Consider the following 24,699-nt stretch of genomic DNA (forward strand, 5'->3'; position numbering starts at 1 on the left):
GTGATGGGCAAAGTGGGGGAGCCAAGCACACCAGGAGGCACTCCACGTGACTCCCACAGGGCTGGCTCCTGGGGAATGTGTGAACCCTGCCTGACCAATTAGCACATTTATTCTTCCTGTCAACTGTGATTGGTCAACAGGTGGGGCAGAAGATCCAATTCAGACCAGTGACACCTAACTCAGAGCCTCAGGGGAAACTGAGAAGCAAGAATGTCTTCCAGAGCTGAGAGCTATGGGGCCAAGGGAGGCCTGCGTTTGCCCACTGCAGGGAGCCTGCAGACTGAAGTCCCTGCTGAAGAAGGTTGAGCCCAGACCAAGTCCTAAAGATGCTTTGAAGCTTCTGAATCCAGCTGTGCCCGAAGCACTTCTCCCTGGACTTTTGAGTCACCTCAGTAAGGAAATAGCTTCTTTTTCTTACTCTTATCTGAGCTCGGTAACTGTCATCTGCAAACAAAGGAGTCCTAATGACTTCGGTAGTGGGTCCTGAGAGGGCGTCACTGGAGACTGGGAGATAGGAGCAGAGAAGGCTGGCTGTGAAGGAGGAGCTATACCACACAGCCCCACACAAGCTGGACTGGGATGTGCAAGCCATGCAACACACACGGCTCCTGGCCTCTGCACAGGCTGCTGCTCTCTTTGCCGCAATGCTTTTCCCTCGTCCCTGTGGAAAGTGCTTATTTATCCTTCAAAGCCACTCCTCTGAAAGTCCCCCTTGCTCTCGTCAGTCCAGGATCACTCCTTCCATGTGTCACACCTCTCCCCCGCACTGTTGGCCCCAGTCTGCAGCTTGCTCTATGGCATGAAGGCCACAAACAACCCAGAGGAAGCTGTTTCTCCCAAGAGCGAGATGATGCATGAGAGCCCTCGGAAGCTGGACTCTTCTCCTGGGGGATGCCGAGAAAGGTGGATGGGAGAAGTCTGAACTGAGTGTTAAACCAGAAATGGCTTGAAGAGATAAGATCTAGTGTAAGTACTGAGTGGTACGGAGCTCAGGATCCAAGTACAGTTCAGCCACAGAGAGACAAGGGGGGGCGATAGCGTTTCCCCTGTGGCTCTGAGACCATGTACACTGTAGTGGCTCCATCTTCCAGCCCACTGTGAGCCTTGGAGGCCCAGCTGGCACACACTTTTCTGAGCCAAGAGGCTCAGAAAAGAAATCAGATGTGTAGAGTCAAGGGAGACAGCCCAGCTATGCTTCACACAGCAGATTGATCCTGGGCTTCCCTTTTTTCATCTGAAAATGGGGATGCAGGACGCTGACATATAAAAGACTCACCAGAGACAACCCTGCCTTTCTGCCCATTTATCCTGTGCTACCCTGCAATGTTAGTGGACCCTGGGGTCAGAGTGAAACACAAGTTATACTTCTTAAATTTAGCTGGCTTGGGTGATATGGGTGCTGGCGGGCCCTGCCCCTGCCCCTGCCTCAGGGCTCACAAATGGGTCTGCTTCTCAGGCACTCCACGGGGCTGTTTGAAAGTGGAAATGAAGTGCACCTACCCCAAGTGCAATAGCACCTGTTCAGCCCTCTCTCTAGCAGAATGCAGGGGCATAGGTCATGGGCCTTGGCTACACAGTCCTCCTACTTCCAGCATCGCTCGGCTCTTGCCGGAGTCTAGACACTTCTAGACCATGACTTGCAGAAATCTCAGAGTCCCCATCTCAAACCCCGGAACCACCTGAGATTTCTCTTCCTCAATCACCCTCCAGTCTTATCAGAGCATGACTCTAAACAGGACGTCTGCAGACCCCTCCCATGCCGCTTGTGGTCCTTGCTTTCTGTGCAAGGAACTAGGCTGGGGCAGAACCCAAACCTACCTGGCAAAGCTGTACAAAAGGAACACACGGGAAAAAGGTGTGCAAAGCAGTGGTGGGGGGTGGTATGAGGGGGACTCTGGGAGCTTTTAGACAACTCCTTGATTTCCATGGACCGCCCCCCATCCACGGAAAGACAATATGCGTGGTGTCAGAGCAGACCACTTGCTTGGCAACTCCAGCTCAGGACCCCTGCGACCCTGACGCTAAGGCTTCTGGAAGACAGGCAGTGATTAAGGAATTCCACATACGGCAGTCCCTGCTAATGCGTGAAAGTACAGTGATTAGCCAGCCAGGTGGGCCAAGGCGGGCACCTAACCCAGCCTGGGAGTGTCACAGAAGCTCCCCCGGAGAGATCATTATTTAAATTAAAAACAAAAGGACCAGTTGGAGCTAATAAAGTCTCGGTGAGGTGGCAGCAGGGACTGGAATGGAATGTGCCCAGACAGGGAATGTGACCAGGCAGAGGACAAGGTACAAGCAAAAGCCAGGCGATTCAAGGAGGTACAGAGGGCTTGAGGGCTAAAGAAGGAAGCTGAGCAGGGTCAGAGCAGCTGGGGATACTGGCATAAGATGTGGCCGGCACTGTGGACAGATAAGGTTTTCAGAAAAGCAGAGGGGAGAGTCCTGTGGCCACCCTGCTCCCAGAGGTGGGAGTGCTTGGCCACTCATATCTTGCCTGCTACAATGCCTCTGTGCCTTTTCTCCTCGCCGCACGCCACCCTGGGCAGGAACGAGAAGCAGGAGGCCACGGAGGGCCATGCAGAGGCCACCCCAGGCTGAGATGCACCAGGGAGCTTGCCTCTAGCTTCCAGAAATAGCATCATAATTAAGAGGGAAACAATAACAGCGGGTGACCAGGAGGTATCAAAACTGGTGCCCACTTTGTTTTTCTTGAGCACTCTTTGCTAATTAATTCTTAAAGATTCACACAGTGGGATTAAAACACTCAGCTCACAGAAGCCAAACTGATCAATACCTTTTCAGGCTAATGGAGGGGTGGAGGCGGAGAGCTGGCCTGGGCCTGAACCAGGGCTAGGAGCTCCTCCAAGGGGGCAGGGCCCCCCCCACCTGGTGTCCCAGGTCCATTCTGACCAGGAGTGGTGACACATGTGAGCACTGAGCCACACCTGGGAAGGGGCTGCTGAAGCCTTGAGGAAGACGGGGGTTCTGGAACAAGGAGGAGCCTGAGGCTGTCGTGGTTGGGTGGACAGTGGTATCCAGGGAGGGCCAGATCAGAGGCCCCACAGCCGGACACCCAGCCGACCCTACTCACTGGAGAAAGGACTTGCCCCACCTTTGAGCCTCTCTGTGGGGATCTGAAACCTCACCATGACTCCCATGGTGGGTGGGAGGGAAGGGTATTTGAAACCAAGAGATCTGAGTCCCCATTCTGCCACCCATTGTCAGCCTGTGGCCTTGGACCAGACACAACATGGCTCCCAGCTCAGTGGCCCCATTGCACACAGAGCATGGCTGGACAAGTCCCCGGAAGGAGTGTGTGCACAGAGTGAGGTGCAGGCAGCAGCTGCCCTTCCACAAGCAAACACGCCACCACCTGAGATGGGTGTCTGCCACTATCCTAGGGGCCATGAGTGAAATGGGGAGCCAAGCACACCGGGAGGCACTCTGGGAAGGTGCTCAGGTCAGAAAAGAGGTGGCGCTCCCCAGCAAGGGCACAAGCCTCTGCTGTTTCGAGAAATGGCCAAACCAAGGCCTCCCATAGCCTGTACAATCCCAGTGAAGAGGGGCCTGGCCACTTGATGTTGGTGCTTCAGACCAGGACAGGCCTGTTTGCAGGAGCAACTCTCAGGGCATGCCTTGCAGAGAGAGCAGGGGAGGCTGGAAGCCGTGCGGAATAACTAATTAATGATGGTAAAGTATTGTGGAAGAGGAAAGCGTTGCATAACCGCTAAGTGGTGGGGTTATTATTATTCATGCAATATTCATACTGTGCTCTTCAGCCTCTGGGAAGCATTGCTCTGGAGTCCTGAGGGACCTGACCGAGGGGAGTGCGCATCCAGGGAGCGGGGCTGTGGGATGACAGCTGTCCTGGACCATGGGAAAGGGGTCATGATGCTGCAGAGGAAACGGCAGCACACAGCCTGCACCGGAGCCCCTTACTAAACCCATCAGCCTCCACTTACCGGGACAGATCATTCGTAAACCCTGCGAGGCACCAGCATCCGTGCTAGGCATCTCCACTCTAGTTAGCTTTTTAAGACAATTCCTGACATTTGCAGAGCCTACAGCATGCCACATGTCTAAATATTTAAGTTATAGATCAAGCCCCACGCATGGTCCAGCCGAAGTCCCCCTGACCCCATGGCCCTGCAGTCCATTCTTCAGGGGCCCCTTCCAGAGGGGGAGGTGCAGCCCTGCTGCCTGCCGCCAGGGGAGGCAGGGTCAGATGGGTAGAGCAGAAGGAAGCCAGGCCTGGCCTGGGCCACCTTGAACCACAGACCCTCCAGGACCAAGGATGGCTCCTGAGCCATCAGACTCACCAGCGAGTTCCCTTACCCAAGCCCTGGCTTTTCTCCTAGAGTTCTGGGCAATGCTCAGTCCCCAGAGGAAACCACCAGGTGGAGGGATCAGGTGCAGTTATCTGGGAATCTGGTCTTTTGGAAATTGAAATAAAAGCATTTCCTCCCTCCCTCTCTAGTTCCCAGGGCAGCCACAGGCTGTGGTTTCCCTGATTCGGGTCCTCACTTTCAGCTGCACTAAGCCATTGCACACAAACCTCCCTCTCTGTTTGCCTGAGTGCTGACCCGGTTCCTGAACTCTCAAAACAAGATAAAAAAGAAAAAAATTCTTCGCATTTGCATTTGTGTGTGTACGTGGGGTCCTGGAGCCAGTGTCAGGACAAGGGCCTCTCTTGGGGACAGTGGCCTCTTTTCATGGGAAAGCCCCAGGAAGTGACGTGACCTCTTCAGGCTCCATGCCTGAGCCTGAGTCACTGGCTCCGAGGAAGAGTCTCACAGCAGCATGGAGGGTGAACAGTCATTACAAACTGACCAAAGTATCTTAATGTGTCACATGTGACTCAACAATCAGGGCTCATCTGCGGTTTGGGAGGGTCTCTTTTCTTTAGGACTCTAGGGTTAGCTCAGGGAGCTCTGGCTGGGTCTGCTCAGCCCTCCTTGCCACACAGCCCTGGCCTTGCCTGTCCAACACTGTCTGCCAGTGGGGCTAAGCATGGGCTGGCCAGGAGCTGGGATGGACACCAGTTTACTCAGCCACACACCTTGAGCTCAGGCCACACACTGCTTGCCTCAGGGAAGTAGCTGTGAGAGATGGGTGCCCTGGGGCCTCAGAAGCCAACATGACCCTGCTGGTGTGGCCTGGGACAAATCCAGCCAGCCTCCCCTCTCCTGGACTATCCATTTGCCTTCTCCTAGTAAGTCTCCCTGCCTCCAACCCATCTGGGGCACTGCAGCCAGGCACTCTTCCTGTAAGGCTGTTTAAAATCCTACAGAATAAGGCCCAATGTCCTCCCAGGGCTCATCAAGCCCTCCTCTTTTGCTGGCCCATGTCACCTCTCATTCTCCCCTCTTGCACAACCCCTGTAGTCCATGCTGCCCTTGCCCGGGGCCTCAGCAGAGGCTGTCCTCTCTTCTTAGGATGGCACGCCACCTGTCCCATTCTTGCAGACTGGCTCCAGAGGCTGATGTTCCACTTCGGGCAATAATTGACTCAAACAAGTGCTAATTACTGAGCAGGTTCTAGAGCAATGGCCCAGCAAGACCAGATCTCTCCCCTGACGGTGGTGACAGTACAGAGGGGAGTGGGAGTATCTCTATGACCCTGGAGGGGAACAGCATCATCCCATGCAAAACAGATGACATGTGAGGAGGCTGGACAGTAACCTGATGGATGTTCCCTGAGACCAGGGAGCAGGAACAACAGGGGATGGCTCGTGACAGGTCTAGGAGGCCAGTGACATAGTAAACACTTTAGTACTTGCTGGCAGCAATAGGAAGCTGCTGAAGGATTTCACCTAGGCAGAGATGTACGCAATTAGCATTCAATAAGACTCCTCCTCCAGGAAGCCTTCCTGGATACTCTAGTTTGGTTCAAGAGCTTCTCCTTTTTCTTCTGTGAGTCCTTCGTCTCAGTATTTAACACACTGCATTGCAACTGTCCCCTGTAGACTGTCAGCTCCTCAGGTTGGAGCCTGACTTACTTATTTTCATGTGCCAGTAGACCTTGGTGAAAATCAATATTTGCTTAATCAAAGAGAAAGCTCTGGGTGTCTGTGTGTCCCAGTCCTCCAAGACAGCCTGTGGGTCCAGCTCCAGGTCCTTCACCTCTTGCCCTGAATAGTGACTTCTCGATAACATGGCCAAAGAGTTTGCAAAGGTGTGAACAGGGCTTGGCTGCAGCTGGGGTCCAGGCAGGAGTTCCCCAACTGACCATCTGCTTCACTCAGACAAGCAGGGGAGAGTGAGCCCAGTCCATCTCACTAAGAACCATTATCCAGTTATTTCATGGAATCAAATTTAATAAAGGGAGCAGTTCAAGCAATTGTGGTAGATAAATGAGGGTCTAGATGTGACAACAATGCTTATAGTGACTTTAAAGAGGAAGTGGAGATAGTTTAATTTGGGAGCTAGTGAAAAGGTCTGCTGAGTATGTGTTGGCCTGTGGGGCTCGGCTTTATAGCCGCCCAGCTGTGGCCCTCATCAGGGATTGAGGATCAGAGACTCCCCAGCAGGCATTCTGCCTTCATCCCCACTCCTTCTTTCACCCCATGGGGAAGACTCCCTTCAGGGGCCTCTAGAATCAGGACTGTGTGTCTGAGGGAGGTTTGCCAGCCCAGGGTCCCTCCCCAAAGAGCATTACTCCAAATCACCCATCCTCCAGAACTCTTTTCAAACTTACTTTTCTGGAAAGATGAAATAGGTTTACTTTTCCCTATTCCTCTCACTAAGCATAGCTAAAATCCCTAAATATTATATTAAAAAAACAAATATAAAAAGACCCCCAAAAATGGAGAGAAGAAGGCAGACTGGCTAGGCACCTTCAGAACTCAGGAATAACAGGGCAGTGAATTTCTGGGTTTTCTTTTTGCCTCAGATGTCCCAGATGGGAATTGGAGAAGCTGGCAACCCTGTAATGCCAATGGGCACAAACACAGAAGCCCCAAGAAAAGCCAGCTCCCACGAGCCAAAGACTGGGAAAGGTGCAGCCTAGGAAGACAAGACTTTTAGGTGATAACCACTCCACAACGGTCAAACAGCACAGAAAAAACTGTGCCCTCACCCCAAGCCCCACCCTCATCAACAGAGGCCGAGTGGAGACCTGGGCTTCCACGCTCACTGCTCAGTTATAAGGAGCCCCCACTCCCCAACGAGGGTGGTGTCAGAGGGTCACATGGGGAAGAGAGGGCTTCATGCCCAATGAATGAAAAAGTCCCCGCCCCCAGGGGTATCAGTGGAGACCCTGTGGGATCCTGCTCTTTCACCTGCTCCTGGCAGTGACAAGGTGCCTCTCACCCTTCCTGCTAGGAAAGAGTCAGGACGTCCTACACTGCCCAGCCACCACGAGGCTACCCCCACCCCACAGTGTCAGCAAGGGACACATGAAGAGCAGTGATGAGCCTGGGTACTCCCAGCAGGGTGCTGTCTGCAAGTGCTAAAGGGGAAGCCCACCCAAGCCCGAGGCTGACGTTCCACTTCTGGCAATAATTGACTCAAACAAGTGCTAATTACTGAGCAGGTTCTAGAGCTATGTCCTAGAACCTAGCCTGCACCCCACCCCACAGTAACACAGAGCCCTTCTCCCATCAGGTGTCAGTGGTGGCCAGAGAGGATGTCAGGCTCCACCCCCCTAGCAATTATGAGGAAATGCCCCTTTTCTCTCGACAGAATGATATCTGAGGAGGCCTGTTAAAATTGAAGACGTCAATAAGATTCAGAGTTTCATAACATCAAATCCAAAATGTTCAGGTTTCAGTGGAAAATTATTTGTCATAGCAAGAACCAGGACAATCTCTATTTGAATGAAAAAAAAAATCAACAGATGCCATCACCTCGATGATACAGAGTTAGAGTCATCTGACAGAGGTGTCAAAGTAGCCATAAAACTGCTTCCATGAACAATTGTGAAAACTTCCTCAACTTCACAAAGAATATCTGCAAAAGCACCTACAGCTATAACCAAACTTCATGGTGAGAAACAAAATACTTTTCTACTAAGATCAGGAACAAAGCAAGAATATCTACCGTCACCACACCTGTTCAACCTAGTACTAACGTTCTTGTCAGCCTAGTAAGATGAGAGGAAATAAAGGCATACTATTCAGGAAGGAAAAAATAAGACTAACCCTATTTGCAGAGAACATGACAGTCAACATAGAAAATCTCGAGAGATCTGAAAAATAACTCTCTTTAGAGTATGTGGTGGTGGAATACAATAAGATTAACATATGCAAATCAATGATGTCTCCATATGCTCACAATTATACACAGAAAGAAATACTTTAAATACAACACAACTTACGATCACTCATAAATTATGCAGGTGTAAGTCTAATAGCACAACCTTGAAGAAAAAAATCCAGAAGGATCTTAATAAATGGAGACACATACCAAGTTCATGGAAAAACACAACATGATAAAGATGTCAAATCTCCCCAGATTGATCTATAGGTTTAATGCAATTCCCATCAAAAGCCCAGCAAGACTGTTTTTGTAGATGTACAAAAGATTATTTTAAAATTTACATGGAAAGATAAAGGAAAGAGAAATGCGAAAAATCTTTTTTGAAAAGGAAGAATAAAGTAGAAGAAATCACTCTACTCCCTTGAGACTTAATATATTTACAGAAATCAAGACTGTGTGGGATTGGCAGAAGGACAGACACATCAGTGGAAAAGAAAAGAGAACCCCAAATTAGCCCCACCCAAGTATGACCAACTGATTTTTGACAAAGGGGCAAAATATATTCAATAGAGGAAGGATCATTTTTTCAACCAACAGTGCTGGACCAATTAGATATCCAAGGTTAAAAAATTACCTTGATTAAATTCATACTTTAAACAAAAAGAGCTCAAAATTGATCATAGATTTCAATATAAAACATAAAACTATGTAAATTTTAGGGGGAAATCTTGAGATCTTAGAGTTTGGTGCAAACTTCTGAGACATGCTATCAAAAGCACAGTCCACGAAAAAAAAGATTAATAAGTTAGGCAATTAAAATTAAACATTTTTGTTCGTAAAAGACCCTGTTAAGAGAATGAAAAGACAAACTATAGACTAAGAAAATATTTGCACTCCACATATTTGACAAAGGACTAATATCTAGAGTATATAAAGAACTCTTAAAATTCAACAGTAAAAGAAAAAAGCAAGCAATTCATTTAGAAAAATGGGCAGAAGTCATTAGGGGAACTCTTGCCCTATCAGGAAGTATCTCTTGCCTACCTGAGGTTTCAGCCTCTTCCTTGACCTTCTGCTGACTTGCAAGAGACCCTGGTGTATTCGTTTTTTGTTACGTTTGTAGAGATTTGTTATGCAGCAAAATAAAACAAATGTACCAAGGATTCTTCCTTACTAACATTCACACACCACATAATTCTGAACTATTGTCTTGGCAGGAACTTGGAACAGGGGAACAGCTGTCAGGAAAAATTTTTACAAAGATCTCAGGGACTCAGACCCAAGGAATAAAGTGATGACTTTGACTTGTAAGATAAAAACGAATTTAATTCTCTTTACCCGGGCCTCTGCCATCTTTTCATTATAAATTAAGGGAGAAAAAAAAAGACTCTGCTCTCTTCAATAACTCTGGCTCCTTCAGTGAAGAATGTTTTAGGCCCTGGAATGTAATTAAAGTGATATTGTATCTCTCTTATTATCATGATTATAATAATACATAGATTTCAGCAGATGCTTGCCAACAGAATTAAAACTGAGATAGATGGCCGACATTTTGGATGGAATTAGAGTCCACAGGAATATTTTATATGACAGCTTTTTTAAAAGGAAGATGCAGACCTCTAATAAAATGCCTAGAAATTTCACCAGATATTTTCAATAGCTAGTCTTAGATCAATATTTTAGCAAAATTTAAAAATACTGATTGGTTGATATTTAAGTAGAAATTTATTTAGAATTGTGACAACCATAATCCAAAACCTAGTTTTAAGGTTTTTTTAATCAGGATGGCAAAAATACATCAGCCTTCCTCAGGCATCCCGTGCCTCTAAGTGTAGACAGCTGAGAAGGACAGTGTTGGCCATGCAGTCTTCTGGAAGGGAATGGATATCCCGAATCAAATCACCAGGGGCTATCAGGCAAACCCCAAGATGAGGAATGTTCTGTGGGGAAAAAAGGTGGGGTTTGAAAGCTGTGCGCTTCAAAAATATCTTTATCATGAAAGACAAACAAAGGCTCAGGGGCTGTACCAGATTAAGGAAGGCTAATGTGACACAGTTGGTCACCCCCGCCATACCTGTCCTAGATTGGTTCCTGGCCTGGACACAAAACCAAGGCTATAGAGGACTTTATTGGATCCTTTGAAAATATTAGAATATGATAAATAGATTATATAAAAGTATTTTGTCAACATTAAATTTCCTAAAGTTGATGATTGTACTGTGGTATATATATTCTTAAGAAATAAACACTGATGTATTTAAGGGTTAAAAGAAACTCCATGGTATACAAAATTTACCTCAATTGTTTCAGGAAACAAATTGTGTGTGTGTGTGTGTGTGTGTGTATAGAGAGAGAAAGAGAAAGAGGCAATATATTATCAAGCAAATAAGATAAATTATTTAAAATAGGCAGTCATATGAGTGTTCTTTGTACTATTTTTATTCTTATACTTTTCTTGAAAGTTTGAATTATTTTGAAATAAAAAAATTTTTTAAAAAGTTAAAAAGTCACTTCAGTTTTTTCAATGTCCTTTCTATTCCTGACTAAGAAGCAGTTTGGCATTAGAGCTAAAAATTCAGCTTTGGGGCATCAAAATGCCTCAGTTTGAATCCCAACTGGGCCACTCACCTGCTACTTTAATCTCTCTGTGCCTCAGTTTCCTTGTCTGGAAAAATGGGCATGACTACAATAAGAGTATCTGCCTTGGGGCTGAGAAATGAACAGGGTCCACGTGGGAGTGCTGAGAGCAGCCTTGGCCCACGGTCGGCTCTCAGGAAGTGAAATTTTATCACACTTTCCAGGAAAGAGTGTTACATGTAAGAGGAAGTGAATTAAGGGCCAAAATGATTCTAGCAACAACAGTGACAAGCAGTAGATATTTCATCTATCAAGATTAGTCAGCTATAGCAAAAAAAAAAAACATTGTGGCATGATTCAAAGAGAGACAGATGCAAAAAGTGGCACAGAAGATGAAGCCCATTAATGGTTCAGACATATTAAATGGGTACAGAATAGACATAGAATATGTTTGCAATATAGAATCATTGCAAAGCAAAGAAAGGAAAGATCATTACACAGGTGATATTGCAACAACTGATGTCCCATACAGAAAACATTAAAATTAGATCCTTTCTTTAGGCCGTAAATAAAAATAAATTCCAAATAAATTAAAGACCTAATCATAAAAAATGCAACCACTTTAAAGTAAAAATAACTTTTTAAAATGCTTCTTAACACAGAAAAACCAAGCACACAAAAAGGAAAAGACCAATAAATGTGATTACATCACGCTGAAAGACTTCTCACAACAAAGGAAGCCACAAAGATAAAAGATAAGCAACATACTGAGAGAAGATATTTGGAACACATGAAACATACAAATAATTAATATCCAGAATACTACATAAAAGACCAATAATCAAATACAACTTGGGAGAAAGGTATATAAAATCAGAAATCTACAGAAAAGGAGAATGGGCTGTCTGATAATGCAGAGAAAGTAGTTATTCCTAGTAGTGATTAGGAACACACAAACTAAAATAAAAACTTTGAGATAAAATTTTATACCTCTCTAATTGTCAAGAATTGAGAAGTTGGGCAGTATCAAGTATTACTGAGTATGTAAGGAACAGATATGGCCACAACCCCCTGGTGGAGAGCAATTTGGCAATATCCAACAAAAGGAGAATTGACACGACATTTCCCCTGCCAGGGGTGTCTGCTAGAAAACCAGCTGCAGGTGGGTTCCAGGAGGTGGGGCGAGAGGGCTCATCGAAGCCTCAGCCATCAGGCTGCAAGTTAGAGACAACCTAAATTCTGACAGTATGGGAATGGATAAATAATCAGATAAATGGCAGTGTTTCTGTGGAAACTTGTAGAGTAGTTGGGATGAATGCATTTGACCCATATTATCAGAACGGGTAGATAATGCAACGTGTTCAGTATGCTATGGCGGATTCCTGCAGTTTTTAACAGCTGCAAAGTAACCCAGGAAGGAAGCACAGCCAACCCTGGGGTGCCTCTCCCTCTGGGGAGGGAGGAAAACAAGAGGAGGAAGAGAGCCAAACTCCACCTCTTATGTTCTGTTTCTCTGATGGATACATTGATTTAGCTACCTACCTTTAAATATATATCTAGAAAAAAATTTAACATTTGGTAATTCAGAGTGTTGGCTCCATAAATGTCTGTTCCATTAATCTCAGTGTTTGAAAATATTTAAAGAATATTCAAATACTGTTTCTTTAAAAACTTTCTACCTACTCTGTGTGTGGGAAAGACTGGCCTGGCTTCTCATCCCAGGGTCCCCCGGTCATACTTGGGATCCTGGATGCCACAGAGGGACTGGACAGAGAGTGCCCCCATAGCCCCCAAGTCCCCTGAGGTACAGTTCTCATACACCCTGGGTGACTGGCCTGGTCACCCACCCTCACAGACCCCCATCTGCCAGTAGATTGCACTAAACAGTGCTCTAGGCCCCTTTCTCCAGTCAATAAAGGGGAAGCCCAACGTTTCCTTCATTTGCTTTCAACAGGCTGTCATATTCGCTTTTTGTTCACAAACATTTACTTACTGGAATTAACAACATATACAATCATTATGAAAAATGCCAATACAGAGAAATTAAGATGCTGTATAATTCTTTTTCCTAAGAAGATAAAGGATAGCCGGGCACGGTGGCTCACGCCTGTAATCCCAGCACTTTTGGAGGCCGAGGTGGGCGGAACACCTGAGGTCAGGAGTTCAAGACCAGCTTGGCCAACATGGAGAAGCCGCATCTCTACTAAAAATACAAAATTAGCCAGGTGCGGGGGCATGTGCCTGTAATCCCAGCTACTCGGGAGGCTGAGGCAGGTGAATTGCTTGAACCCAGGAGGTGGAGGTTGCGGTGAGCCGAGATCGCGCCATTGCACTCCAGCCTGGGCAACAAGAGCAAAATTCCATCTCAAGAAGAAGAAGGAGGAGGAGGAAGAGGAGGAGGAGGAGGAAGAAGAAGAAGAAGAAAAAGAAGAAGAAGAAGAGGAAGAAGAAGAAGAGGAAGAAGAAGAAGAAGAAGAAGAAGAAGAAGAAGAAGAAGAGGAAGAAGAAGAAAAAGAGGAAGAAGAAGGAGACTAAACACATGCAAAATATTACTACGGAACTCTAACCTGTAACTATCACTTCATCACTTCTGTTTCATCCGTGTCAGCTCATAGAAAGGCATGTCTTTCAACTAAATATATTGGATATTGTTGGAAATACTAAAGCATAATTAACTTAGTCAAATTCCTACTGATAGTCTCTTGTTTCTGGTTCCCACCGTGGTTTCGGCAGTGTTGAATAATACCCTGTGAAATATTTTGGGAGGGTTTTACCATATTATTTCATCAGGTTATATTCCTGGAGGTGGAATTTCTGGGTGAAGGGTTATGAACATCTTACATTTCGCTTACATTGACACCCAGATTTTGCCAAATTGCCCTCTGGAGAGAGTGAATAAATGAGTCCCCTCATATCCAATAGTGAGTGCTCACCACTTATCACATCCCATGCTAAGTGCTTTAAATGTGGTAACAGATTTCATTTTCCCAATAGTCCTGTGAGGTGTCCCCAACTTACAGATGAGAAAACTGGGCACAGAGAGGATTAATTCTTTGTCCAAGTTTTCCAGGCTGGTAAACAACAGAACAGGGATGAACATTTAAGGAGTCTCGTACTGGATACCCACTCCTAACCACTGTGTACCTCTATCAATAGTATATGAAAGCAGAAACGAGCTGTGATGCCTTGGCCCAGTGATTAAAACCTTATCTATAACATGCAGGTAATTGTGGCACCTATTGCACAGAGTTGCTGTGGGAACCAAATGAGCTCATGTAACATCTTCAGCAGAGCACCCAGCACATCGACACACTAAAAAATGCGAGGAGGTGTTAGATCTTTTATTATTTGTGAGACTGGACATTTTAAAGTTTTATTGTCTGTGATTCTTCAATGAATTGCCTGTTTATATAATTTGCACATTTTTCATTGGATTTCTTAAATTTAACTTCCTTTTTTTGTACCAGGACAGACTAGTTTGTTTATCTAGGTAAGTCAAAAGCAGAAATAAGGGTTACAACTTCTCTTACCTTCCACCACGTCTCTGGGCAGGCACACTGCATCTAACCACCGTGCACACCCTTAATCGCTGCTTGCTGGTGCCTGACATCCCTTCACAGTCACTGCCAACGGCCCGTTTCCATGTGTAAACTGATGGATGATGTGGCTGGCTGTCTGTCTGACATGCTGACTCCCAAGGCCAAAGTCTTTGCTCTCCCCTGCTTAGTGCAGACTTTAGATGGAAACCTGCCCACAGCACTAACTTTGCCCGCATTCAGGATACAACCTATTGGTCTGGAGACACAAGATTTAATCTGGAGACAGACTGCTTCCCATTGAGTCTCGGCCCAGTGCAAGTTCTGGGAAGGAACGTCTTTGTATATATGAGGGACGTATGCTGCCTTTTTAGGAAACAACAGTTGATATCAGAGGGGACTTCGTAAAGGCATGTGTCTCTCTCCATCTCTGTCTCCATCTATGCATATTTCTAACCATCTCTCTATGTCTCTGTCTGTCTCTCTCTCTCTCTCTTTGAGTTTCTTCCTCTCTGTCTACTTCTCTGACTTTATATTTCTCTCCTCCATTTGGCCCTACTTTGTTTTAGTCTTTGCCTCTCTCCTTTCTTCCTTCTTTCAAGGAATGCATTAAAGATAATTTTTAAAAACAAAGATACCTCTGAGTAGCAAAGAGTCTGCTTCACTGCATGAGAATTCTGATTCAACATTAAATGTATACCAGTATCTACATGCCTACATGTTCTCATTCTATGTCAGTATTTTGATTTGACTTAATTAAATTTAACTTAACTCTCTTGAAATCCCAAAAAGTAAACATGATTATCTCCCATCTCATTGGTTCAGAAAGTTAGGGAGTTTCAGAAGCTTATTCTAGTTTATCAGCAATGGAGCCACAGTTTACACCCAGATGTTTCTAGATCCCAAGCCCGAAGCTCCTTCTGCCATGACCCTTCCTATTCTCCTTTAGCCCAGAAGCATTTGTAAGTTGCAGCTGGAATGAGACAAACAAGATCATTGCTCACTACCAGATCAAAGTGAGAAACATCATCTGTGTAAAGGGACAGAGTTATGTTTTAGGGATCAAGCCCCAGTGGGCTAAGGCTCCCCCAGTTTCCTGCCCACTGAGGCTCCCCCGGGCCAGAGACCCCCGCAGTCCCCACTTACCCAGGAGGAAGAGGATCCTCAGCATGCTGACCCCCAAGTTCATGCTGGCGCTCTGCTCTTGGCTCCTGGCTCCTGGCTGCTGGCAGCGCAGGCACAATGAGCCATGTGACCCAAGGCTCTGGGGACAGGACAAGACCCACGTGACTGATGGGGAAGGAAACCACTGTCACAGCCAGGAGGCTGTTCAGTTCCTCTCAGCCTCTCTGAAGACAGGGCTGAAGGAAGCCCCTGTCATTCTGGACTCCACCAGAAGCTGGCTGTGATTAGACCCATTGTACATGCTGGGGTATTATACCCAGTGTTCTCTCCTATAATCTTCCCCACAGAGTGTGGGAACAAAGCTCGGTAAGGTGCGGTTTCTTGCCTAATGACCCATGCTAGTAAGTCTCAGAGAGGAATGTGGGCAAAGCCGGTCTGCCCTGCAGTCCAGCCCTTGCAGTAGCCTCTGCCTTGGAGCAGAAATAGGAAATGCCCCTCCAGCCAATAGTCCAGCTCGGTCACTGTTTTTGTGCCATGGGAGCCTCTGAGTCTAGGAATGCCTATCACTCTCTTCTCAGAATAAGATTTTTAAATCCCCAAACTAAAATAGATAAGGATCATAGTAGAAATCAGTAGTATTAACACACAGTTATCAAAATATTTTGTTAAACTTGTGAAGTAGAAATATACATGCTTATTTATCCACACAGTAAATAGCAAGATCTGGCAGCAGATGAAACAGCTACCACCATCTCGACATGGTGATAAATGGAATCGATATTGAGAGATACCTGTAACAGCTGGAATGTGGATGGAAAGACCTGTGATTCCTACCAGAAATAAAGTTACTGGGTGGTAATGTTTCTGTGGTTCGTTTGCCACACTACTATTAGAAGAAGATGCTAAGTGTTCCTTAGAGGTTAGAGAACAGAGATGTAATTTTTTTCCCATCCAAGTTTACAGGCCCCATGTCCAGGTCCTTAGCCTGGAGGAACTTTGGTAGTCACACAGGCTCAGCCAGCAGGCTGAAGGCCTTATGCTCCTGTACTCCTTTATACCTGCACGTTGTCACAATGCTTAGATGTTCAGCCAAAAACCCAAATGTGCAGGAAATGTCACTTTTTAAAATATAAATCAACTTAATGACAAGTCTTGAGTCCCCCACCCAACTGAGCTGGCAGAAATCGAGCTCTTTTCATTCTTGGGCTCCCTCAGTCAAATCCCTAACGGTAGCAGCCAACACCGTGAGCACTTGCTACTGAGCCCAATGCCATCTTAGCATGCAACCTGTCCAAGTCCACGCAGCAGTAAATGTGAGAGCTGGACTCGAAACCCAGGCCTTTGGCTGGCAGCCTATGCCCCTCAGGCTGCATGTGCCCTCTGTGTACAGGTACCATCCCCTGCCAAGGTCCAGCCAGAGGCAGTCCGATTGCCCTGGTGCCACAGATGCCCCCTGGGTTCTTCTGCATGGCTGCTGTGGCTCCTTCTGAGTTTCACATAAATAATGGACATGAGAGGAGAAGGCTGGTCATGAGAGAAGCAATTGGCTTCATCTGGGTGCCTTCAAGTTCCATCTGTCCACACTTTATTCATTTGATGAAATTAAGATCAGTTTCTACCTGCACCAAGAAACATACTCTCTTATTTCTCCTGGAATATGTGGAGTTTTCTTAATTTTGCCCCAGTTCATGGGAACATGTGTAAGAAAAATATTTCACTTTCCTCTAAGTGTATTGAAAGAAAATGCCAGTGCAGACCTGACAATCTGTAGACAGTGGCTGGGGACGGTGGAGCTACATTCAGGCCAGGCCCAGGGCTTCCAGCCACACCAGGCAGTTCTGTTTTTATATGAAATCAATAAGTTTCAAATGTCGGCAACTGATTTCAAAATACTTTCGCATGGGATGAGTCAACCTAAACACCAGCATGAACTTCTGCTCCCAAACACCTCTCCAAACATCCTTGGGAGCTCGACCTGTCCTACATACTCCCAGGAGGGGAAGCATCTGCAGCTACTTCTGCTTTCACTCTGCCGTAGCCTCCGAGTCTGGAAAATGCAGTCTGCTCCCTGCTTAGACAGGCAGAGGCTCAAAACGCCCCGTAAACTAGAATCTCACGAGATGCCCTGGCACCCAGCCACGGCACCTTGGCAAGATGGTGTGTGTCTTGTTGGCGTGGCACAATGCACCCAGAAGAGCGGATGCCCCACCCTGTACCCCTGTAATGAACGCCCAGTTCTGACCGTGAGGCTGCTCCTGGCACTGGCTCACACTGGCCCAGGAGCTTGTGAGGGCAGGGCCCAGGGCACCTGGCCTAGCACCTGACACAGTGCAGGCTCCTAGCGGTGTTTGTTGAATGAAGAATTCAATTCACCCCATCTATTTGGGAGGCTGAGGCAGGAGAATCGCCTGAACCCGGGAGGCAGAGGTTGCAGTGAGCCGAGATTGCGCCACTGCACTCCAGCCTGGGCGACAAGAGTGAAACTCTGTCTCAAAAAAAAAAAAAAAAAAGAAGTCGTTTCACTTTCTTATCTCATGCTCAGCCGGCCTAGCCTCCAGCCCACCTGGCAGGAATATTTTCCAGGTCATCTAGGTGAGGAAGGTCACTGCACTGACAAGCAGAAAAGAATGAGCCCCACTCCGGCAGCTCTGACATCCTGCCCCTCACTCGGATGTGGGGCCTCTTCCAAGGCCACCAAGCCTGGGACTCTTCTGTCCTTAGCACTGCACCCTCAGGACCAGCCAGGGAGCTCGTAGAATTCATGTCTCATGTGAACGCCTTTAGTGCAAGTCACAAAAAACTGCCAAACACCATCATTACGCATCAGATTTTTACAAATTTAAAGATAGGGAGGATTCAGCACGCAGATTTGTTTATTGGCCTTACATAGAACTGTGCACCCAACAATTAGAAAATAGCCATTCAATTCAGCATGCATGCAACATTTATACCCCAAAACGGTCTCACACTGGGCCATAATACAAGTCTCAAAAATTTCAAAGAAAAGGTGACATATAGACCATATTTTCTTACCACAAGGTAATTGAATTAAACGACAGTAACAAAAATACATGATAGAAATTTCCATTGGTTTGGAAATTTTAAAACATTTCTAAGTAACTCATAGATCAAAGAAAAAATTACAGTGAAAATTACAAATAGCTGGAACTGAATGATAATGAAAATGTTGCACATGTGATTTTGCAGAATGCAAGCCGGGTAATAATTAAAAGGAAATGCATAGATGTAAATACTTAGAAAAGAAGAACTGAAAAAGGAATGAGATAAGCAACCAGTCAGAGAAGTTTGAAAAAATTATAAGCCCAGAAAAAAGGCAGAAGAAAGGAAGCAATAAATATGAGAGCAAAAATGAATGAACCAGAAGCAAGCAAAGATACAATGGGGAGGATAAACACATCTTAAAAGTTTTTTCTGAAAAAACTAATAATATGAAAAATTCCTCACAGAATGGATTTAAAAAGAGAGAAGACAAAAATAAATAATATTAAGAATAAATAAGTCCAAAAAGGTAGCAATAATGGCATTATTTGCAATCTTATGCCAATGAATTTGAAAACTTTGATGAAATGGACACAATCTCAGGAAAGTGTAACTTACTGAAATGTGCTAGACAAAAACAGCAAGACAGAAAGGTCCTGATGCCTTTCAAAAGATTGAATCAAATAGTTAAAAATCTTGCCACAAAGAAAATATCATTCCAAACTATTTTACAGAATTTTACAAAAATTTTAGAAACTTTAAGGACTAGGAAATTACAATATTAACAAACTAGTTCAGATAATAGAAATAAAATGAGTATTTTCTGACTGTTCTGTGGGTCTAGGATAATCTTTTTACCCAAACCAGGCAAGAAGAAAGCAAGAAAATAAAAGTATATCCCAATCTCACTAAATAACATAGAGGCCAAAATCCTTTTAAAAATTACCAAATCAAATGTAATGACATATATATATATATATATATATATATATATATATATATATATATATATAGAGAGAGAGAGAGAGAGAGAGAGAGAGAGAGAGAGAGAGAATAAACTACTATGACCAAGTCATTCACCACTTTAATGGATTAAAACAGAAAATAAGTTAAATTAGCTAATATGTACAGAAAAGCATTTGATAAAATCCATCATGCATTCATGATAAAAACTCCTAATAAACTAGAAATAGATAAAAACTTTCTTGATCTAATGAAAAGATATCTGCTAAAATATAACAGCAAGCGTCATCATTATGGTGAACCACAAAGAGGCAATCTCTTTAAAATTAGGAACAAGATGCCCTTTATCACTATTTCTATTCAAAATTGTCTAAGGTTTCATTAGTACAATTTAAAAAAAAAAAAAAAAAGGAATACAAATAATGAGGATTGGGAAGGAAGAAAAATTTATATTCTTAGTTGATATGTTTGTCTACACAGAAAGCCTTTAAGACTCCAGGACTAATTGTTAAAAATAATAATATGGCTGAATGCAAGGTCAGTATTTTTAAAAATCAATTTAATTTGTATATACTAGTAACAAAAAGAAAACATGTTATTAAAAAATATAAAATTACACAACCACTATTCCATAATATATATGTATTTTAAAATAACAAGTACCTGATAAATACATACAATTTTGTTAATTAAATAAATACATAAAAACTAATAGTAATAATTAGACCACATGACCAAAAATAATATATATATATACATATTTAAGGAATATAATAAATATATAATACATTTGTTTTAGATATATGAATAATGAATCTAACAAAAGTTGCTCAAGACACATGGAGAAAGCACTAGTGCATAGCATTAAAGAGGATCTAAGTAAACAAAAAGTGTGTCACCATGGATAGAAAAACTCAAAAATCCTTAAGTTGGGGATTTGTCTCGAATAAATCTGTGGTGTCAATACCATCTTCCACTCAACTTCATTAGTAGTCAGAGGAATGAAAATGAAGGCCACAGTGAGACACCATTTTACACTTCCAGATTGGCAATAATCAAAATCTTGGGTAATATTAAACGTAAGTGAGAATGTGAAAAAATATGGTGTAATATCGCAATTTTCTATTCTTTGGTAAAGTTGAAGATTAGTGTATCCTGTGATTCAACAGTACTCCTCCTGAACATATACCCAGGGACTCTCTCACACATGTACATTCAGAAACACAGAAAAGAATGTTCATAGAGCATAATTGGTCACAGCAAAAAAGACCTTGGAGGAACCATGAAATCTATCAACAGGAAAATGGATAAATAATTTATGATACATTTTTATAATGGAATAGCATATAGCTATAAAATGAATAAATGACAGCAACCTAGGACAATTTGGGTAAGTCTTAGAAACAATATTGTATGAAAAATCAAATTGTGAAAGAGTATAACCAGAATGATATTAATTTTATGAAGCACAGTACCAAGCAAAACTATACAATAAAGAACCTAAAGATACCTATATATTCTTCATTAAACAGTATTTTTAAAAATCTAGAAAATGATAAACACAACATTCTGGAGAGATTAATCTCTCAGAGCAAGGCAGAGGGAGGGGAGAGGAAGGAACAGACAGTAAGATGCAGAGGTAATGGTCTGGCTCTTTAATCGTGAGGTAGGTGCATGGGTATTTGTTTTGTTAGTAGGAAGGTCAGACTCTGAGTTTTTCCTTAAGTCCTGGTTTATGCCCACTATCTTAGTACAATTATAATAGCATCACATTTCACTCTCAAAGGTTTGGCAAAGGTCCTTATTCAAAACCTACATATACTATGGAGAATTTGATGTTTATTGAAGATTGCATAATTAAGAAGTAACTAAAACAAATATTAAAGCCAGCAAGGTTGTGTTGATAGACATTGTAACGGTTTCATGCATTCTAGCAATTAGCAATTCTAGCTTTAAAAATTTACCCCAATTTTGATCCATTAATTCTACTTTAAGGAACATAGTTCAAGGAAATGATTGAACAAAAGTATATGGATGGATATTTAAGGATGCTCGCTACCGAATTATTTGAAATCGAAGGTCAAAACAACAAGTGAAAGACAGGAAACGACCAAAATTGGCACACATCTGACACAATGGTAACCAAGCAGAAGGGTGTTCACCAGGAAATGAGAGTTCCTTTCTCATTACCACCTCGCCTGACTTTCAGTAAGCAAATGGGTGTGGATACCTGCTTCTAGGGAAAGAAGAAAGCTGAAGATTGGAAGCAGACATGGTCAGTGGCTGCAGCCCATCTGTGCAAGAACTTTTGCAATTAAAGAACAGGGTTACCTTGTGTATTAGCTCATTCTCATGCTGCTGATAAAGACATACCCGAGACTGGGTAATTTATAGAGGAAAGAGGTTTAATTGACTCACAGTTCAGGATGGCTGGGGAGGCCGCAGGAAACTTATCATTATGGCAGAAGGGGAAGCAAACACGTCCTTCTTCACATGGCAACAGCAAGAAGTGCAGAGCAAAGGCAGGGAAAAGCTACTTATGAAAGCATCAGATCTTGTGAGAACTCAGTATCACAAGAACAGCATGGAGGTAACCACCCCCATGATTCAATTACCTCCCACCAAGTCCCTTCCATGGCACATGGGGATTATGTGAACTACAATACAAGATGAGATTTGGGTGGGGACACAGCCAAACCATATCACCTCGGCCCATAGTTAGCAGAAGATATGAGTTAAAATAAGAATATGTGTGCATTTAGGGGGAGTCTAGAGGGAATCTTACACATAAATATAACCCAATTTTACCATAAATACATATGTATATGTTGCTGTTTTAATACTCTTTCCTGATTATAAAAATTCTCTCTTAGCTTTTACATACACCTGGCTTCATTTCTTTCCCTATCTCTGTATGGCTATGCACACTTCTGTTGCTAACCCAAGAATAATACTGTGGTTCTAAATTTTCCCAAATATGTCCAGGTCATGGTAAAAAGTATAAAGTCCATTAAGTACTAATGTAAATTTCATTATTAACATAATCAGTCTTGAAATAATGAAATCACCAAAACCTAAGGGCAACTTTCATCCTCAATTTTTTTCCAATGCCTCATAGGAGCCAAGGAGCTGGTGAGCAACTGAATGGACTTTGGGAAAGCCATGGACAAAAGCCATGTTTGAAATACATAGGGTTAAAGCCCAGGAGACCTGGCCCAGGGGCTCCCAGCCAAGGAAACCAAGGCATGGTTTTCTGTGAGCCCAGCTCAAAGGGAGGCTGGAGGACAGAACAGCTCTTTCAATCTGGACATCTGATTTCATCCACATTTGGCCACCTGAAGGCTGTGTGAAATTAGGAAACTACGGCCCATACAGTATTTTCCTCACTGTTGAAAAGAGGACCTTCATTCTCAGCCCCATTGAGTTTGAAGAACAGCAAAAATACCAAGCCACCCAGAGGCCTTGTTTCTTTATCTCAACCGTGAGTAAAGGAGGTCCTGATATCTGGTCATCTTATATCATGCAGGAAGCATCTTGAGAACACTACCAAATATTGGGGGTCTCACAACCCCACCTCATTTTCTCAGGAGTAATAAACATGTTTCTTGGCTTCTCTGCCTAGGAAATGAGCCTCAAGTCAATGACAAATTCTCAATTTGGATGTGATTCAGCTCTGGAATCACAAGAATTAAATATAGACAACAATTTACTTTGTATTAAAAAGTTATTGTGGCACTATTCACAATAGCAAAGACTTGGAACCAACCCAAATGTCCATCAATGATAGCCTGGATTAAGTAAATGTGGCACATATACACCATGGAATACTATGCAGCCATAAAAAGGATGAGTTTATGTCCTTTGTAGGGACATGGATGAAGCCGGAAACCATCATTTTCAGCAAACTATCACAGGGACAGAGAACCGAGCACTGCATGTTCTCACTCATGGGTGGGAATTGAACAATGAGAACACTTGGACACAGGAGGGGGAACATCTCACACCGGGCAGGGCCTGTTGTCGGGGAGGGATAGCATTAGGAGATATACCTAATATAAATGACGAGTTGATGGGTGCAGCACACCAACATGGCACATGTATACATATGTAATAAACCTGCACGTTGTGCACATGTACCGTAGGACTTTAAGTATAATAAAAATAAAAAGTGTCATCTTATAGGTAAAAATTCTGAAAATGCACCTACATGAAAAATCTCTTCTTACTTACACAATCTCAAAGACCTATCTACTTGGTTAATAGTCACACCAGGATATATTGTTTACTAAGTAGTAAGACTTGGGATGGAAAAGAAGAAACAAATGTTGGAGAGAGAAACAGTCTTGGGGTTAAGTGAGGCTTTTGAAAAAGAAATTCAGAGTCAGCTGTAAGGTAGTGATTAAGAGCATAGACTCAGGGGCCAGATGACTTTGACCCTAGACCTGACCTTTGTCTTTGTTTCTTCATTTGTAAAAGAGAGATGAAAATGTGTTCATAGGGTTGTTATGAGGATAAAGTGAATTAATTGTTCTGAACATTGACTAACACATAGTAAATTTAAGTGTGTGTTGTCAATGCTATTGTTGTTGTTTTTTGCAATGTTGATTTACAAAAATGAGCTCAATTTTGAGTGACCTATAAGATGAATGCTACAAATCTATACTGGGAGATATAATGGATGACTTAAATAAATGGAGACTTATCACAGGTTCCTGAATGGACAGGCATAGGGTCCCTGGTAGATCAGCACAGGGCTTCTCTCTGAAAAGTGAGAAAATGGATGAAGCCCTAGGATCTAAACTGAAAACCGTGAGAAACTCTTGAGGAGACAGAGGCAGCGGGGCATCAGTGTGCGTGGTAGGAATTGGCAGCCAGGAGCAGAAGAGGCCGGGCACCCTGCACCAGGTTCAGGCTTGTGGGAAGCCCTCTACTAGACCTACTCTCACCCCACTTGCCTGGATGAAGCAAAAGAATAGCAGGGCAGCCCAATGCTAGGTGGAGGTGACGTGTTCACAGCAGGTAGACACCAGAGTAGAGGAGACCAATACCAACAAGTGAAAGCCAACCGGCCAGCCCCTGAGCCTTTTCTGACACTGCCTCCATCTTGCCACACTCTCAGGGCACGCATGTCCACAGTGTTGCTGTGAAGAAATAATAACTGAGAGCAGGGCCACGTGGAGTTTCTGAGCAGCCCCATGAAAAGAGATAAACTTTAAGGCTTAGGGGGTGGGCTTAGGTGTCCAAATAAGAAGTGTCTGAACCCAGATCCTAAAACCAGAGGAATGACACTCAACATGCTC

The 24,699-nt window shown here is 43.9% G+C and overlaps 1 protein-coding gene across 22 annotated transcripts in view, besides 6 other annotated features; it reads right to left on the minus strand.

Moving 5' to 3' along the window:
* Positions 1 to 15,555, minus strand: part of TMEM273 (transmembrane protein 273) — a 33,656-nt gene extending 18,101 nt beyond the window's left edge. For all 22 annotated transcript variants that reach the window (XM_017015797.2, NM_001288741.3, XM_011539385.2 and 19 more), the window contains exon 1: positions 15,458 to 15,555. In XM_017015797.2, coding sequence (XP_016871286.1) covers positions 15,458 to 15,500 — 43 coding nt within the window. In that variant the 5' untranslated portion in view covers positions 15,501 to 15,555. The remainder of the gene's footprint in view (positions 1 to 15,457) is intronic.
* Positions 2,040 to 2,541: an enhancer, noted in NCBI's record as "H3K4me1 hESC enhancer chr10:50382921-50383422 (GRCh37/hg19 assembly coordinates)". NCBI's record gives its function as "activates a minimal SCP1, AML or CMV promoter by ChIP-STARR-seq in naive H9 embryonic stem cells {active_cell/tissue: H9 hESC(naive)}" and the evidence as "EXISTENCE:reporter gene assay evidence [ECO:0000049][PMID:30033119]".
* Positions 2,542 to 3,041: an enhancer, noted in NCBI's record as "H3K4me1 hESC enhancer chr10:50383423-50383922 (GRCh37/hg19 assembly coordinates)". NCBI's record gives its function as "activates a minimal SCP1, AML or CMV promoter by ChIP-STARR-seq in naive H9 embryonic stem cells {active_cell/tissue: H9 hESC(naive)}" and the evidence as "EXISTENCE:reporter gene assay evidence [ECO:0000049][PMID:30033119]".
* Positions 4,527 to 4,866: an enhancer, noted in NCBI's record as "active region_3346". NCBI's record gives its function as "activates an Ori minimal core promoter by ATAC-STARR-seq in GM12878 lymphoblastoid cells {active_cell/tissue: GM12878}" and the evidence as "EXISTENCE:reporter gene assay evidence [ECO:0000049][PMID:35858748]".
* Positions 7,443 to 7,522: an enhancer, noted in NCBI's record as "active region_3347". NCBI's record gives its function as "activates an Ori minimal core promoter by ATAC-STARR-seq in GM12878 lymphoblastoid cells {active_cell/tissue: GM12878}" and the evidence as "EXISTENCE:reporter gene assay evidence [ECO:0000049][PMID:35858748]".
* Positions 17,384 to 17,543: an enhancer, noted in NCBI's record as "active region_3348". NCBI's record gives its function as "activates an Ori minimal core promoter by ATAC-STARR-seq in GM12878 lymphoblastoid cells {active_cell/tissue: GM12878}" and the evidence as "EXISTENCE:reporter gene assay evidence [ECO:0000049][PMID:35858748]".
* Positions 18,004 to 18,223: an enhancer, noted in NCBI's record as "active region_3349". NCBI's record gives its function as "activates an Ori minimal core promoter by ATAC-STARR-seq in GM12878 lymphoblastoid cells {active_cell/tissue: GM12878}" and the evidence as "EXISTENCE:reporter gene assay evidence [ECO:0000049][PMID:35858748]".

Source organism: Homo sapiens, chromosome 10, assembly GCF_000001405.40.
Source record: "Homo sapiens chromosome 10, GRCh38.p14 Primary Assembly".
Taxonomy (NCBI): domain Eukaryota; kingdom Metazoa; phylum Chordata; class Mammalia; order Primates; family Hominidae; genus Homo; species Homo sapiens.